Source organism: Homo sapiens, chromosome 4 (assembly GCF_000001405.40).
Source record: "Homo sapiens chromosome 4, GRCh38.p14 Primary Assembly".
NCBI lineage: Eukaryota > Metazoa > Chordata > Mammalia > Primates > Hominidae > Homo > Homo sapiens.
The window spans coordinates 8,221,232-8,237,852 of NC_000004.12; the positions used below are offsets into that span (position 1 = coordinate 8,221,232).

General features: G+C 56.2%; 1 protein-coding gene across 17 annotated transcripts in view, besides 4 other annotated features; it reads left to right on the forward strand.

The window, feature by feature from the left end:
- Positions 1–16,621, forward strand: part of SH3TC1 (SH3 domain and tetratricopeptide repeats 1) — a 59,032-nt gene that overhangs the window by 39,160 nt on the left and 3,251 nt on the right. For 12 of the 17 annotated variants that reach the window (XM_011513488.1, NM_001410712.1, NM_001318480.2 and 9 more), the window contains 8 exons: positions 1,609–1,739; positions 3,944–3,985; positions 5,749–7,413; positions 10,745–10,925; positions 12,132–12,282; positions 14,202–14,324; positions 15,047–15,197; positions 16,243–16,439. In XM_011513488.1, the coding sequence (XP_011511790.1) occupies positions 1,609–1,739; positions 3,944–3,985; positions 5,749–7,413; positions 10,745–10,925; positions 12,132–12,282; positions 14,202–14,324; positions 15,047–15,197; positions 16,243–16,439 (2,641 nt within the window). Of the gene's footprint in view, positions 1–1,608; positions 1,740–3,943; positions 3,986–5,748; positions 7,414–10,744; positions 10,926–11,176; positions 11,835–12,131; positions 12,283–14,201; positions 14,325–15,046; positions 15,198–16,242; positions 16,440–16,621 lie in introns of those variants that run through there. The other 5 variants (NR_134639.2, XM_047415794.1, XR_007057930.1 and 2 more) reach the window with 5 other exon arrangements.
- Positions 5,723–6,392: an enhancer, noted in NCBI's record as "H3K4me1 hESC enhancer chr4:8228681-8229350 (GRCh37/hg19 assembly coordinates)". NCBI's record gives its function as "activates a minimal SCP1, AML or CMV promoter by ChIP-STARR-seq in primed H9 embryonic stem cells {active_cell/tissue: H9 hESC(primed)}" and the evidence as "EXISTENCE:reporter gene assay evidence [ECO:0000049][PMID:30033119]".
- Positions 7,382–7,641: an enhancer, noted in NCBI's record as "active region_21291". NCBI's record gives its function as "activates an Ori minimal core promoter by ATAC-STARR-seq in GM12878 lymphoblastoid cells {active_cell/tissue: GM12878}" and the evidence as "EXISTENCE:reporter gene assay evidence [ECO:0000049][PMID:35858748]".
- Positions 7,734–8,404: an enhancer, noted in NCBI's record as "H3K4me1 hESC enhancer chr4:8230692-8231362 (GRCh37/hg19 assembly coordinates)". NCBI's record gives its function as "activates a minimal SCP1, AML or CMV promoter by ChIP-STARR-seq in primed H9 embryonic stem cells {active_cell/tissue: H9 hESC(primed)}" and the evidence as "EXISTENCE:reporter gene assay evidence [ECO:0000049][PMID:30033119]".
- Positions 8,162–8,221: a silencer, noted in NCBI's record as "silent region_15259". NCBI's record gives its function as "represses an Ori minimal core promoter by ATAC-STARR-seq in GM12878 lymphoblastoid cells {active_cell/tissue: GM12878}" and the evidence as "EXISTENCE:reporter gene assay evidence [ECO:0000049][PMID:35858748]".

Here is a 16,621-nt window from a genome sequence, read left to right on the forward strand (position 1 = left end):
AACTTACAAGGGGTCAGAGAAGAGCCAGGGAATGAGCTAGTTTGTTCCCTTCCTTTAACCCAGAAGGATGACGGGGCTGGGTGCCATTAGTCCTGTTCACAGCTGGAGAAATTCTGACTTCTCTCATTCACTCAACAAATGTTTGCTGAATATCTTTCCTATTCCAGACCCGGGGTTTTCATCTTTTATTTAGTGAACAACCTGGTAGCTCTTCTTTTTTTTTTTCTTTAACTTTATTTTTGACACAATTTCAGACTTAGAAGAAAGTTGCAAAAAGAGTATAACATTCCCACACGCCCTCACCCAGATTGCACAAATGTTAACATGTTATGACATTTGCTTTATTGCTTTCTCTCTTTCACTTCTATTTTTTTCTAAACACTTTGAGAGTAAGTTGCAAACATGATGTTCCTTTACCCCTAAATAATGCAGTATGTGGTTCCTAAAACCAGGACATCTGCTTACATAACTACAGTACAACTGTCGAAATCAGGAAATGAACGCAGATACAATGCCATTATCTACAGATCTTACTCAGATTTTGCCAGGAGCCACAATGATGGCCTTTGTAGACAATGACAATTTCAGACCACGTGTTCTATTCAGACGTCATGTCTTGCCTCCTTAATGTGAAACAGCTTTTCAGTCTTTTTCTGATGTTTTTAAAGAATACAGGCCTGTTATTTTGTAGAATGTGCTGTAAGCTACTCTAAGTTTTTTTAAAATCTGAATAAGATGCATTTCAAAGCTTCATATTATACTGGTAATTTAGTCCTATAAGCAAAAATTGCCTCCTTTCTCCTCCCCTCTCTCCCTCTCTCTCTGTTTCTTCCTGTAGTTCTTCTCCCTGACTTTATGAGAGTGCCCTGAGTGTATGTTGGGCACTCTGGGGAGCACTGAGGTTGTACAGAATCAGTGGGAGTTTACAATGTGGAGAGATTGGATTGGTTCTGTCTGCAGCTGTCACAGGGGACTTCATAAGGGAGGGGACATTTGGAATGGGGCTTTGAAGGCTGCCTAGGAGCTCACTGTCCTAGGACACCATTACTTGTTTGCATCTGTTTCAGCCTTTCCTGCTTCTGGGTATCTGCCCCTGGCCAGACAAGGCACCCCTTGAGGTCAGGATCTGGTTTTTTTTTTTTTTTTTTTTTTTTTTTTTTCAGACAAAGTCTTGCTCTGTCACCCAGGCTGGAGTGCAGTGGTGTGAACTCGGCTCACTGCAACCTCTTCCTCCTCTGTTCAAGTGATTCTCCTGCCTCAGCCTCCCGAACAGCTGGAATTACAGGCTCATGCCACCACGCCTGGCTAATTTTTGTATTTTTGTAGAGATGGGGGTTTCACCATGTTGGCCAGGCTGGTCTTGAACCCTTGACCTCAAGTGATCCGCCCACCTCAGCCTCCCAAAGTGCTGAGATTACAGGTGTGAGCCACCATGCCTGGACTTTTTGTTGTTGTTGTTGTTGTTTTTAAATCTCTGTCTCTACCCCTGGGCAGAGAGTAGTGCTCCGAGACTATCTGTCTGTCAAATCAAGGAATGGAAATGTGCTTAGTGTGAAATGCTGACTTTGCAAATATGTTGTTTTGAATAAAGCACTTTATTTTTTCCAGGTTGGAAAGTGCGATTTTTCTCAATGAGGAAGAAAAGTCATTCTTCAGCGAGGGCTGCTTTTCTGAGGAGGATGCCAGGCAGTTGCTGAGGCGGATGTCGGGCACCGATGTCTGCAGCGTGTACAGCCTGGGTGCGTGTGGGCGATGCCTGTGGTGGGGCCACTGCCCTCCCCTTTCCCTTCTGCAGCCCCTGCTGCCCTCGTCCATCCACAGATAGTGCCAGCCCCTGGATGCTGAAAGGTGAACAGACAGAGGCTGCCGCTGCCTCCAGGGCACATAGGGGCTGCAGACAAGCCAGACAGGAGAGAGGATGGGTGAGGAGCTGAGGGCGTGGGAATGTGGCCCCTGAGACTCCTGTGGGCACCAGGGAAGCCCTTCCTGCCCTGACCCCAGGCACCTGCCTGAGACGCTGGGCGAGGGAGAGGGTATGGGTCTGGTTCTAATTTGCCAGCCCTGAGGGCTCCTGTTTGGGGCCCAGCCCTCTGCCCACTGCACTTTGCCTGGGTGAGAGTGACTTTTCTCCTTGTCACAAGAGAAAGAACCCAGACTGTGGTGTGGCCTGGTCACCTGGCTGCCAGGGAGTGTCATGGTGGGACCCCAGGGCTGCCGTCTCCTAAGGACAGAGATAGTCCCTCTGACCTCAGTGCCCCTCTGTGTGCAAAAGCTTTCTCTGGGGGCTGCAGTGCAACGCATAGATGAAGTTGGCATGTCATCCACAACATAAAGAAACATGGCAGAGGCCGTGCTATCTGCTGGGTGTAGATAAACACAAATGTGTGGCTACACACCCACTTTTTTTTTTTTTTTTTTTGAGACAGAGTCCTGTGCTGTTGCCCAGGCTGGAGTGCAGTGGCATGATCTCGGCTCACTGCAACCTCTGCCTCCCGGGTTCAAGCGATTCTCGTGTCTCAGCCTCCCAAGTAGCTGGAACTACAGGCACGCGCCACCACACCCTGGATTAGTTTTGCATTTTTTTATACAGACAGAGTTTCGCCATGTTGGCCAGGCTGTTCTCGAACTCCTGAGCTCAGGTGATCCGCCAGCCTCAGCCTCCCAAAGTGCTGGGATTACAGCTGTGAGCCACTGTGCCCAGCATCTACACACCTACTTGTATACCTATGTGCACATGTACAAACACAGACATAAACACACAAATACGCATGTAAATACACACTGTGTGCATGCACACATGCACTCACAAGTATACACACACACACACCCACCCATGCAGACATGTGTGCACATGTGCCTGCAGAGGTGTATACACACATACACACATGTGCATGCACCTTCCTCACAAGGTGTACACGCACACGTACATACATATCCATGCACCCCCTCACACACATATGCACACACATATATAAACAGATACATTTCCACACACACTTTTTTCCTGCTTGCTCGATGACATGCATTACAAGACCTTTTCTCCCACCAGTATTAGAGTTAACATTTGTAGATCCCACAAATCAACTTCCCTTCCTGAATGGACAAACTTAGACTTGACCTCAGCATATCAAGGCTCAGACCCCCTGGATGGTATCTCCTGTCCTTTTTAGGAAGCAGGTTTGGGACCCTCCACACCGTGGGGTGTTGTGGGCAGGGGCATTGCAGGGTGCAGGTGTCATAAGTGGGGGTGTTGCAGGATGCAGGTGTTGTGAGATGGAGGCATTGCAGGGTGCTCCCCAGAACTGCACACCTGTTATCGCAGTTCACAGCGCTTGACGCTGTCCACATCTCCACATCTTTTTACAGCTATTTCTCACTTGACCTCCACGGAAACCCAGTAAGCAGTTAGTGTCAGCCACTTTACGGGGGTGAAACTGAGACCCGGTAGCTGCCTGCCCTGGGATGAAGAGGGTGGGGGTGCACTGGAGCAGTGTTGATCCCTGGGCTGTCGGACTCAGAGCTGCTGCCTGTTCAATGCGCCCTGCTCCCTGATGGAGCTGATGGAAGCCGAGAGCGTGCTCCCCACTGATGATGGGAGGATGTCCCCAGAAGACGGGAGAGTGGAATCCCCACAGGGGTTGGGTGGGGTGGAGGCCTGGAGATGCTAGAACATGAGAATTCTCTGGCCCATTGGCTGGTGCCTCTCCCTCAGGTGTCAGCAGTGCTCCTATGCTGGTTGCACCTGACCCTGCAACACCTCAGCCTGCAACACCTGCACCCTGCAACACTCCAGCCCGCAACACCAGCACCCTGCAACATCTCAGCCCTCAATACCTGCACCCAGCAATGCTCTCACCCTGCAACATCGACACTAGCTCAACCTGGCAGGGGACCAGAGGTACTGGCTGGGGGTGTTGATTGCTTCTCTTTTCTCCCTTGCCAGACTCAGTAGAGGAAGCTGAGACCGAGCAGCCGCAGGAAAAAGGTGGGTTTTGCCAGTGGCTCAGGCTTCCTCTGGTTATGAGCTGGGCCTTGGGGTAACGCTGGGGGAGGTGACAAAGCTGAGCACGGTGGGCATTGGGTGCGGCTGTCACCCCTCTGTGGTGTGGGCTGGGGGCTTGGGGGAGGTTGCCTGAGGTGGGCCTGAACCTCCCGTCCACTGTGGCACTGGAGGCCGTGGGGTCCCGCACTTCTTCCAATGAACATGCTGGCCCCCGCCTGGTCCCCGCCCAAGATGGAGCATCCTTTCCACTGCTTGGGTCCACTTGTAGCTGTGGGTTCCTTTCTCATGACCTGGAGAAGCTGCAGCTTGCCCTCTGCTCTGCCTCAGAGATGGGAGGCCACACTGCCCTCAGTGGGTGGCAGAATTCAGAGCCTTAGGTTGCAGGGGCCTCAACTGAGGTCCCTCAAGGGTCTGCTCCTTCCTGAGGGGCTGATTGAGGGAGACCCTTCCATCTCCCCTCTACAGCTCTGTCTCTTCCCCTCACACAGGGTCCGCATGGGGAGAGCCTGGGGATGTGGACACCCCAAGAGCCCTCGGAAGTTCCCTGGGAATGGGATCCATTCCAGTACATTTGGGATGCAGGCAGGAGGTCCCAGAGGAGGCCTGGAAGCCAGTGGGGAAGGGAAGGCTGTTGTAGGTTTTCCTGGGGGAGGGGGTGGATCCACCCTCTGCCGAAGTCCCTGGAGCAAATGCGAGTGACTCCAGCTGCCCCCAAGGCCAGGGTAATAGCTGGGAGGGGCTGTTTGCCTCTGCCGGGCAGGGAGATTTCTTAGCTAATCTAGTGTAGTCAAGTCACATTTGCCTCTAAATCATATGTAATTTTTTTTTAATTCCAAGGCTTTACAGATGAATAAGGAGACAGTTTGTAGTGAAAATATTTTTTACATGTGAGCTTGAAACAGAGAGTCTATTTAAATCTAGATTCTTTCCTTCCCAGTAATGTCTCCTTTCGTCCCAGGTTTTCCAACAGGAAATGCGCTTGTTTGCTCACCTCTGGGAGGGGGCTTTGGCTGGGAATCCACCAAAGCCAGCAGGCGCCAGCAGGCTGCGTGGGCAGCCTGGCCTTTGTTAACCCTTTAGGAACTGCGGGCTTCAGGTTTTCAGACCATCCAAGGTGAAGGTGGTCACAGGAGCCTGGAAGCTTTCCCATCCTTCCTGCAGGGATGGTCCATTTCCCTGCATGGAGCTGGGTACATGGCTACAACATCCCTGTCCTCTGCTGTGGGTAGCTTTACCAATTTTGCATAGCAGCTTTTGAGCTGATCAGTAGCTCTGACTGGCTGTTGAGGATTTCATGGATTCCTGTACCCCATCGAGGGGCCCAGTATGCTGACAAAAATTACATTTGTAGTCGTAGTGCTGCGTACACTTGGGTGCAGTTAGAAGGCTTTGATTCTTTCTAAAGGGAAAGGCATCTCTGAGGGATCACTGAGCTGACACATAGTCTCCTAAAACCATGCTGTCAGGTGGGCAACAAAGGAGGACAGGAGGGTGATTTCATAGGAGAGTTGGGCCATGGGCCTGTGTTTTCCCTGTCCCCACAGTGCCGGAGTTCCTATGTGCTCCAGGCCCTGGGTTTGCATTGCACATAATTCTCAAGGGCTCATGGCAAGCCGGTAGGGTGGTATCGTCTGGAAAGTGCTGCGCCGGGGACACAGAGGCTGGGGATGAGGGGACCCTGCCCCCAGTGGACCCAGGACTCACTGCTGGACTCTAATCTGTCTAGGTGTTTTTGTGACTTGCAGAAATACCTCCACCTTGCCTGAGCCTGGAGCCACAGGAGACCTTGCAGAAGGTGAAGAATGTTCTGGAACAATGCAAGACCTGCCCAGGCTGCCCCCAGGAGCCAGCGTCCTGGGGTCTCTGTGCGGCATCCAGCGACGTGAGCTTGCAGGACCCCGAGGAGCCCTCCTTCTGCTTGGAAGCCGAGGACGACTGGGAGGACCCAGAGGCCCTGAGCTCACTGCTGCTGTTCCTGAACGCCCCTGGGTACAAGGCCAGCTTCCGTGGCCTGTACGATGTGGCGCTGCCGTGGCTGAGCAGCGTGTTCCGCAGCTTCAGCGACGAGGAGGAGCTGACTGGGCGCCTGGCACAGGCCCGGGGGGCGGCCAAGAAAGCTGGCCTCCTCATGGCCCTGGCCAGGCTCTGCTTCCTCCTGGGGCGGCTGTGCAGCAGGAGGCTCAAGCTGTCCCAGGCCCGGGTGTACTTTGAGGAAGCGCTGGGGGCCCTGGAGGGCAGCTTCGGGGACCTGTTCCTAGTGGTGGCTGTGTACGCCAACCTGGCCAGCATTTACCGGAAGCAGAAGAACCGGGAGAAGTGTGCACAGGTGGTGCCCAAAGCCATGGCCCTGCTCCTGGGGACGCCTGACCACATCTGCAGCACCGAGGCGGAGGGGGAGCTCCTGCAGCTGGCGCTGCGGCGGGCGGTGGGTGGCCAGAGCCTGCAGGCCGAGGCCCGGGCCTGCTTCCTGCTGGCCAGGCACCACGTGCACCTCAAGCAGCCCGAGGAGGCCCTGCCCTTCCTAGAGCGGCTGCTGCTTTTGCACAGGGACTCGGGAGCCCCAGAGGCCGCGTGGCTCTCAGACTGCTACCTACTCCTGGCTGACATCTACAGCCGCAAGTGCCTGCCCCACCTGGTGCTGAGCTGTGTCAAGGTGGCCTCATTGCGGACACGGGGCTCGCTGGCCGGCTCGCTGAGGAGTGTGAACCTGGTGCTCCAGAACGCCCCCCAGCCCCACAGCCTCCCTGCCCAAACTTCCCACTACCTCAGGCAAGCGCTGGCCTCCCTGACCCCGGGCACAGGCCAGGCGCTGCGCGGCCCCCTCTACACCAGCTTGGCCCAGCTGTACAGCCACCATGGCTGCCACGGCCCGGCCATCACCTTCATGACGCAGGCAGTGGAAGCCAGTGCTATTGCCGGAGTCCGTGCCATCGTGGACCACCTGGTGGCCCTGGCCTGGCTGCACGTGCTTCATGGGCAGAGCCCGGTGGCCCTGGACATCCTGCAGTCTGTCCGGGATGCAGTGGTGGCCAGCGAGGACCAGGAGGGCGTGATTGCCAACATGGTGGCCGTGGCTCTGAAGAGGACGGGCCGGACGAGGCAGGCAGCTGAGAGCTACTACCGCGCCCTGCGGGTGGCTCGGGACCTGGGCCAGCAAAGGAACCAGGCAGTGGGGCTGGCCAACTTCGGGGCCCTGTGCCTGCATGCGGGTGCCAGCAGGCTGGCCCAGCACTACCTCCTGGAGGCCGTGCGGCTGTTCTCGAGGCTGCCCCTTGGGGAGTGTGGCCGGGACTTCACCCACGTGCTCCTGCAGCTGGGCCATCTCTGCACCCGCCAGGGCCCGGCCCAGCAGGGCAAGGGCTACTACGAGTGGGCCCTTCTGGTCGCCGTGGAGATGGGCCACGTGGAGAGTGAGTGCCCCAGTTCCTTCTGTGTGCCTTCCGGGGCCACTCGGGTCAGGGCACACCTGGGGTTTGTGATTCAGACACAAGCGGTGGTTTTTCCACCATCGAAAGTGCTGAGTCATGGCAAACAGCAGATGTTGGCAAGCGCCCTGGAGACAGGCAGTTCCCACGCAGGGCCAGGCCCTCTCTGCCCTACTGGGGGAGCCAGCTCCTCCCGGTTTGCCCAGGGACCATCCTGCCTTGAGCACTGAAAGTCCTGCATGCTGGGAATCCCTGAAGTCTGGGCAACGGGCGGTGGGTCACCCTAGACATAACCCTGGAAGCGAGGCAGGCTCCGCTGAGCTGGGACTTGGGGCCCCTCCATGAGCCAGGCCCTGAACGCCGGTGCTTGTGCCCATGTTATCTGCTTGACATCTCGGCAGCCCTGTGCACCTGTCATCCCACTTCACAGAGGACGCAGGGGCGGGTGGTTACCCAAAGCCGCAGAAAAGTTTATGCAAAAGCAGCTCGTTGTGCAGAGTGTGCCACGTCCCACCCACAAATGGGGCTTGTGGGGTCCTTGGGTGGCAGGGGCTGAGCATGGGAAAGTGAGCTTCAGGCCAGAGAAGCCACAAAAGGGTGAGTGGTGTGATGGCGGGGCAGCTCTTGGCCCCGGGTTAGGGAAGCCTCTTTAGTCTGGGGCCAGAGGGTTGAGAAGATTTAGTCAAGTAATACGTGGTGGGTGAGGGGCTGGTGGTGTAGCCTGTGTGAAGGCCCAGGGGTGAGCGAGTAGGGGTGAGTGAGTGGGGGTGTGATGGGGGTGAGTGAGCAGGGGGTGAGTGAGTGGGGGTGTGATGGGGGTGAGCAGGGGGTGAGTGAGCGGGGGTGTGAGCGGGTGAGCGGGGATGAGTGGGGTGTAAGTGGGGGTGAGTGAGCAGGGCCTATGCAGGGAGGTGCAGAGTTGGGCGTGGGTTGGTTGGGTGCTGGATGGTGAGAAGCTCTGCTGGAGAGCTAAGCAGGGCCTGGGGCCTCAGGCTGTGGCTTGGCCTTTTCCCTAAGGGCACTGGGGAGCCATCTGCCCAAGGAGGAGTGGGGGGGTTCAGACCCAGGCTTCTTCCCCAGGGCCATTCTCTGACTGCAAGGAGACCCTCCAGAAACCCGGCACCCCAGCCCCCACAGCAGCCTCCGGTGGGTCCTGGCACAATAGCCTGTGGCACCTCCTACGAGGCCCTCCCCGGGGTGCTGGGGGATTCAGACTTGGAAACGCAGGCCAGGGAACGAGGATCATGCTTCCCTGTCTCCCCACCCCGCGTTGAACAGTCGAGGAGACCGGGGGCCAGGGGACGAGGATCATGCTTCCCTGTCTCCCCACCCCGCGTTGAACAGTCGAGGAGACCGGGGGCCAGGGGACGAGGATCATGCTTCCCTGTCTCCCCACCCCGCGTTGAACAGTCGAGAAGACCGAGGGTGGGGCTGATACCCCACATGCTTACTTGTGGTCATTTTTGAGTCACTTTTGGTAGTTTGTGTCTTTCTAGGAGTTTGGCTGTTGCGTCTAGATGATCTGATTTGTTGGCATACAATTGTTCGTAGTGTTCTCATGGAATCCTTTTATTTCTGTCAGGTCAGCAATAATGTTCCCTCTTTCATTTCTGATTTTAGAAACTTGGGTTTTTAATTTTTAATTTATTTATTTTTATTAGAGATGGGGTCTCGTCATGTTCCCCCAGGCTGGTCTTGAATGCTGGCCTCAAGCGATCCTCCCACCTCGGCCTCACAAAGTGCTGGGATGACAGGCGTGAGCCATGGTGCTCGGTCTCTGATTTTAGTCATTTGTGTCCCATCTTTCTTTTCTTGGTCAGTCTGGTGAAAGATTTGTCAATTTTGTTAATATTTTTGAAAAACCCACCTTTGGGTCTGTTGATTAGCTCTTTTGTTTTTCCATTCTCTGTATTTTTACTTCCCATTTCCACTCTCATGTTTATTATTTTCTTCCTTTTACTCGCTTTGGGTTTAGTTCATTCTTCTTTTTCTAGTTTCTTAAGGTGGAAGGTTGGGTTTTTGATTTGAGATTTTTCTTCTTTCTTTGCATGTAGACATTTAGAGTTACACATTTCCCTTTCAGCACTGCCTTAGCTGCATCTTGGAATTTTTGATATGCTGTGCTTTTTTTTTTTTTTTTTTAGACAGAGTTTTGCTCTGTTGCTCAGGCTGGAGTGCAGTGGTGCAATCTCGGCTCACTGCAACCTCTACCCGGGTTCAAGCCATTCTCCTGCCTCGGCCTCCTGAGTAGCTGGGATTACAGACATGCACCACCACACCCGGCTAATTTTTGTATTTTTTTGTAGAGACGGGGGTTTCACCATGTTTCCCAGGCTAGTCTCAAACTCCTGGACTCAAGCGATCCTCCCGCCTCGGCCTCCCGCAGTGCTGGGATGACAGGCATGAGCCATTGCTCTGGCCCGTGCTGTGCGTTTGTTTTCATTCTTCTCAAATTAGTTTTCAGTTTCCCTGATGGTCTCTTCTTTCACTCACTGGTTGTTTAGGAGTGTGTCATTTCCACATATTTTTGACTTTCCCAAATTTCCTTCACTGTTGATGTCCAGTTTCACGCCAGTACAACTGAAGAACACTCCTGCTTTGGTCTCAGTCCTTTTCCATTCACTGAGGCTCATTGTGGGGCCTGGCACGTGGCCTGTCTTGGGGAATGTCCCATGGGCGCTTGAGAGGACTGTGTATTCTGCCGTTGTTGGGTGGCGTGTGTGATAGATGTCCACTCGGCGTACCTGGTTTCTGGTGTTCATCTCCGGAATGTTGCTGACACTAGAAAATCAGCAGCTTTCCACCGTTCCCAGCGCCTTGGCTTTGGGAGAGGCCCGTGAGCCTGTGGGTTTGGAGCCTGGCTGCACGGGAGGAGCACGTGTGGGAATGCCAGGGGCCGGCTTTGAGCCCCATTCCCCCAACATGATGCCGTGTGTGGCAGACGTGACATTTGGTTTTGCTCCCCCAGGGTTCCATCTGCGACAGGGGCTACTTGTGTCCCTGGCCTCGTCAGCTCGGGCTGAAGGCGGCCCTGGTCCTGGCCAGAGGGGCTTTGTGAAGCAGAAATAGATGGCCTGGTGCAGGGGCCAAGCTCGGCTAGGGCCTCAGCCCTGGGAGTTGTAAAGAAGGCCGGCCTCTACCATGGGCATCTGCACCAAGCTGTGCCCATGTCACGGTGTGCTCAGCGGTTCCCCGCCTGTGGGGCCCAGGCTCACAGAGGTGTGAAAGAGGCAAGCACACCGCAGGGGCCTCTGAGCCCAGCCAGCCTCGCTTCAATGCTGGGAGGCTGACGTCTTCCTTTTTGTCTTCTGCCCAGGCCAGCTGCGGGCCGTCCAGCGGCTGTGCCACTTCTACAGCGCCGTCATGCCCAGCGAGGCCCAGTGTGTCATCTACCATGAGCTCCAGCTCTCCCTGGCCTGCAAGGTGGCCGACAAGGTGCTGGAGGGGCAGCTCCTGGAGACCATCAGCCAGCTCTACCTGTCCCTGGGCACCGAGCGGTGAGGGCTGGCTCTGTGGTGGTGGGGGCGGGGGGAGGGGGCAAAGGGGGCGGCGGGGCGGGGGCACAGGGAAGCTGGCCCAGGGCCCCAGCAGCCCCTCTCCTTGGGATCATTTGGTTCCTTGGCATCGGATGCTCTGAGCTGGGGGGCCTGGGGTTGTCCCAGGGCTGCTGATGACCCGTGAGTCCCAGCTTGAGCTTCCCTTGTTGGGTGACACGTCTTCCCATCCCTGCTTGCACACCTCCCCAAAGGTCATCTCAACCCCAGCAGAAGCAGTTACATGCATTCTGGGCTGTTCTTCCTACCTGGTGGCTTTTGTCATCTGACCTCTGCCTGCCCCGAGTCTTCACTCCTGGCCTTCACCTGTCCCCTTAAATGTGACCACAGCAGCCACCTGTGGCTTCTCTCCCACAGAAGACAGAGCCAGTTGTGTCACCTGCTTCCCTGGGGCAGGGTTTCAAGGTCTCACATCCCACATGTGGCCCACTTGGCTCTCCTGGAGCATCCTGACCTGGTGGGGTAACCATGGCCCTGGCCACCCCACCCACAGGGCCCAGTGACATTGCTGCACTCACACCCCTTCGACTCACCAAGAGAGCAGGGAAGGAGCCGGATTCCACAGGGACCCGGGAGATCGGCTCCAGCCTTGGCCTCAGGTTCACAGCAGGAAAATGGGCCAGTGTGTTAGAGCCATGTTCTCAAAGTGTGGTCCCTGGACCAGCAGAGCAGCATCCATGTCACCTAGGAGCTTGTGGCAAGTGGGAGTTCTAGGGCCCGCCCCAGGCCCGTGGAGCCAGAAGCTCTGGGGGCAGGCCAGCAAGCTATATGGACAGGCCTCTGGATGACTGTGATGCCTGCGCACCTTGAGAACCATCGGCCTGGATAGCATCTGAACACTGATGGCTCCTGGTGCGTCTAGAGAAGACACAGGCCATGTCTGGGACGCGGGGGAGATGGACTAGCACGCTCCCCCAGCCACAGGGCAGCATGATGCCCAGTTCCCTCAGAAGGATGTCCTTCGTCTTTTCCTTGCCGTGTGTGTTCAACCCCACCCTCTCAGCAGCCCGGGAAGGGCAGGACACTGCACACACAAGAGGGCCGTTCCCAGTCCCATTCCAGATTCATCTGTCACCAGACCCACGGGAGGAGGCAGACTGGTTCCAGGAGGATGACAGCCCTTGTTCTGACACCTGTGTCTGATACCAGGGCCTACAAATCCGCACTGGACTACACCAAACGAAGTCTGGGGATTTTCATTGACCTCCAGAAGAAAGAGAAGGAGGCGCATGCCTGGCTGCAAGCAGGGAAGATCTATTACATCTTGCGGCAGAGCGAGCTGGTGGACCTCTACATCCAGGTGAGTGATGAGGGATGCAGGAGGGCCTCTGCACATGTTCACTCTCCATCCATCCATCCGTCCATTGATGATGATGATAGATGATCCTTCCATCATCTATCCATTTACCTGTTCATCCTTCCTTCCATCCATCCATCCTTCCATCATCTACCCATTCACCTATGGGTCCTTCCATCCATCCATCATCCATCCATCCATCCTTCCATTATCCATCCATTCACCTGTTCATCCATCCATCCATCCATCATCCATCCATCCTTCCATTATCCATCCATTCACCTGTTCGTCCTTCCATCCATCCATCATCCGTCCATCCATCCATCAGGCATCCATCCTTCCATCATCCATCCATTCACCTATCATCCTTCCATTCATCCATCCATCATCCATCCATCCATCATTCATCCACTCTTTTGTCATCCATCCAATCACCCATCAATCCATCCATTCACCTGTTTGTCCATCCATCCATCCATCATCCATCCATCCTTCCATTTATCCATCCATCATCCATCCATCCATTCATCCATCATTCATCCATCCTTTTATCATCCATCCATTTATTCATCCATCATTCCATCATCCATCCATTCACCTGTTGATCCTTCCATCATCCATCCATTTATCCATTCATCCATCCATCCATCCTTCCATCATCCATCCATCCATCATCCATCCATTCATCCATCCACCATCCACCATCCTTCCATCATCCATCCATTCACCCATCCATCCATTCACCTGTTTGTCCACCCATCCATTTATCCATCCATCATTCATCCATCCACCCACCCATCTACCCATTAATCCATCCCTCCATTCGTCTGTCTGTCCATTTGTTTATCCATACATTCGTCTATCCACCCATCTATCCATCCATATGTACATACATACATCATCCACCCTCCACCCATCCATCCATACATTATCCACCCACCCATACATACACACATCATTCAACCCATCCATCCATCCATCCACCCATCCATCCATTCATCTGTCCATCCGTCCGTCCATCCATCCATCCACCCACCTATACATCTGCTCATCCATTTATCCATCCATCCACCCATCCATCCATCCATCCATCCATGTACCTATACATCTGCTCATCCATTTATCCATCCATCCACTCATTCCTAAGCCACTGCTGAGCACCTGTTGTATGCCTTTCCCCTCTCTCCCACTGGTTCCCTCATATCCTCCCCCAATGGCCAGCATCTTCTCCCTGAGGGCAGAGGCACAGCCCCTCACAGTGCCCAGCACCTGCTGGTATACAGCACATGCTCAAATAATGTGGCCTCTCAGTTAACATACAGAAGAACTTGCTCCAAGCGACATGTGGCAAATCTCCTTACAAAATGCATCTGTCATAGCAGCAGTTTCCAGAGGCTTTCCCAAACACAGTGTGATCTGGAACAAACTGGGAAGCCCAAGAGCCTGGTGAAGCTTTTGTTTTTGAGCACCTGCTGTATACTTCCTTGAGCTGAGGAGAAGGATCAAGAGCTCATGGCCAAGAGGGGACCAGCCCACCCACAAACACTGTTGATGTGGGGTCCTGAGCTGTGGCAGGGATGTGGCAACTCAGAAAGGAGCCAGGGGATGGGCTCCCAGCAATCTGGGGGCCATGGAGGCTGGTTTGAGTGCAGGGGGAGTGGGCTAGGGCTAGCCCTGGTGGCAGGATTCACAGATGTCGGGCTCCTGGGCTGCAGCTGCACAGTCACCTCCTGGCACTCGGGTGCATGAGATCATTGTCCCCATGCCAGCGGTGGGGGCGGCCCTAATGCACAGGGTCTGAAAAAGGCTCAGTTGCACCTGCAGTGTGTGAGAGGAAGGAGGCTGGGCGGGGGAGTCCGACCTGGGTGGGCGTGGCCACCTCACCAGGTGTGGGTCTTGAGGGAACTTCTGCCTCCTTTCAGGTGGCACAGAACGTGGCCCTGTACACAGGCGACCCCAACCTGGGGCTGGAGCTGTTTGAGGCGGCTGGAGACATCTTCTTCGACGGGGCCTGGGAGCGGGAGAAAGCTGTGTCCTTCTACCGGGTGAGCTGGCCTGTGGGCTGATGTGGGTGGGCCCCAGGGGGGGCACCTTGAGGGCTGAGGCACAGGTGTGGCAGGGCAGAGCCCTCGCACCTGGAGGCAGGGCCGCCCATGCACATGCTTAGTTTCCTAGTGGTTTCACCGGGAATGATATTGACTGTGCCCCCCGCCCGGGACAAACACTTGGGGCCTGGACACAGCAATGGCCTTACCCTTGCACCCGATGATCTCAAGCAACCTTGAGTGGGAAGTCCTGTCCCCATCTTACAGATGAGGAAACTGAGGCTCAGAGAGGCACAGGGACACGTCAAAGGACACACGGCATGCCAGTGGGAGGCCCAGGGCCAGGGCCCAGGTCTGCATGCACCCCGAAGCGGGGACGGCTTCCCCCTTCCTCTGAGCTCATGGTGTGGCTCAGCCCTGGGCACAGATAAATGTCGTGTTTTTAGAGCAGAGAGGAGTGCAGGCTCCCCCCAGTCAGACCCCTGGTGCCCAGGCGGGAGGGGCTGGTTTGAGGCTGCCGGGTGTAGCTGGATGGGCCTCAGGTGACTCTTCAGCCCCTAGCTTGGGTGTCTGAACCGCCCTTTATCTCAGAGCACACAGCTGTGTCGAGGCCCAGGGGTAGCTGGGGCGTGGGAAGCTCCGAGCACATGTTTGAGCTCTGAGGAGGGCGCTGGGCAAGGTGGGTGCTGCGGGAAGCCTGACCCCACCTGCCTGTGTGGCAGGACCGGGCCCTGCCCCTGGCAGTGACTACGGGCAACCGCAAGGCGGAGCTGCGGCTGTGCAACAAGCTGGTGGCACTGCTGGCCACGCTGGAGGAGCCCCAGGAGGGCTTGGAGTTTGCCCACATGGCCCTAGCACTCAGCATCACCCTGGGTAAGCCCCCTGAGCCCCTGCCCTGCCAGGACCCACACTTTGCCAGAGCTCAGCCTCCAGGTCTGCAGGGCAGGAGCCGAAACAGCTGCCGGATTTTCCTGGTCTCCTGTCCAGGCAGGCACATCTGCCCAGCTGGCTCCCCCGTCCGGCCGTGGGGCACAGCCCGAGGTCCTTCACTCAGTGCAGAGCTCCCTGCCTGGCTGAGCTCTGCTTCCTGTGCCTCTTCCCCCTGCTGACCACGAGGGCTGCCCAGTGTGCCCTCTGCCTTCCAGACATGCCAGACATCTCGTTGGTCCCTGCATGTGCCAGGCTGAGTGGCACATTCCCTTTCTCTTGTGCCCTTCCCACCCTCATCAACCACACGGCTCTGTGGCTGATGAAGTCCCAGTTCCCCTTCCAGCAGCCTGCCCCTTAATGCCGGGCATCCCCCGGTGCTGTGCCAGGGTCGTCTGTCCTCTAGAGAGAGGGAGCCCCAGACAGGCCACATGCCCCAGCGCCTTGTGGCCCAGGGCCTGGTACACAGGTGTGCAGCCGCGTGGGAATGCATTGAATGCAGGCTCCACAGCACTCACCCTGAAAAGGGGAGGACACCGGAGACAGCCTGGGTGGGCTCGCGCATCTGTGGGGGGACCTGGAGCTCAGGCACGCAGTGACTCCCCAAGGTAGGGGACTCTGATGATGACACACCCAGGAAGAGTTGGATGTCATGTCTGTGGGTTGCCTGGAGCCCTGGTGCCCAGGAGCGCGTGGGCTGCATGCCTTTTGGGCTCTCCTGGTTAAAAACAGTGAGCAAAGGCAGGTGGCTATATGTAGGCACAGAGCTGGGCCATCCAAGTCCGACTTTGCCAAAGCCTCACGGTAGATGGGGGCAGGCCTTATTAGTTCTGCTTTGTAGATGGGAAAGTGAGTCTGGGAGCTGGGAAGGGACTGGCCAGAACTGCCCAGGTGACCGCAGTGCCTGGAGGCGAGCCAGGTGCTGCCGGGGTCTGCATGCCTGCCCCGGGGAGCCACGTCCTCACACCTGCCCCCTTGGCCTGCACCCCAGGGGACCGGCTGAACGAGCGCGTGGCCTACCACCGGCTGGCCGCCCTGCAACACCGACTGGGCCATGGCGAGCTGGCAGAGCACTTCTACCTCAAGGCCCTGTCGCTCTGCAACTCGCCGCTGGAGTTTGACGAGGAGACCCTCTACTACGTGAAGGTGTACCTGGTGCTCGGTGACATCATCTTCTACGACCTGAAGGTGGGTGGGGAGGGGCTGGGCTCAGGGTGTTCCCGGCCCCCTTGGAGTGGGATCTCCACCCAGACCCCTGAGGCATGTGTTCCAGCCTTCCTTAAGAATGGCCCAGTGGCCTCCCTGGAGCGCTGCGCCCGGCTGGAGGAGCTGGCAAGGTTAGCAGACACAACCCAGCTCCCGAGCGGCCA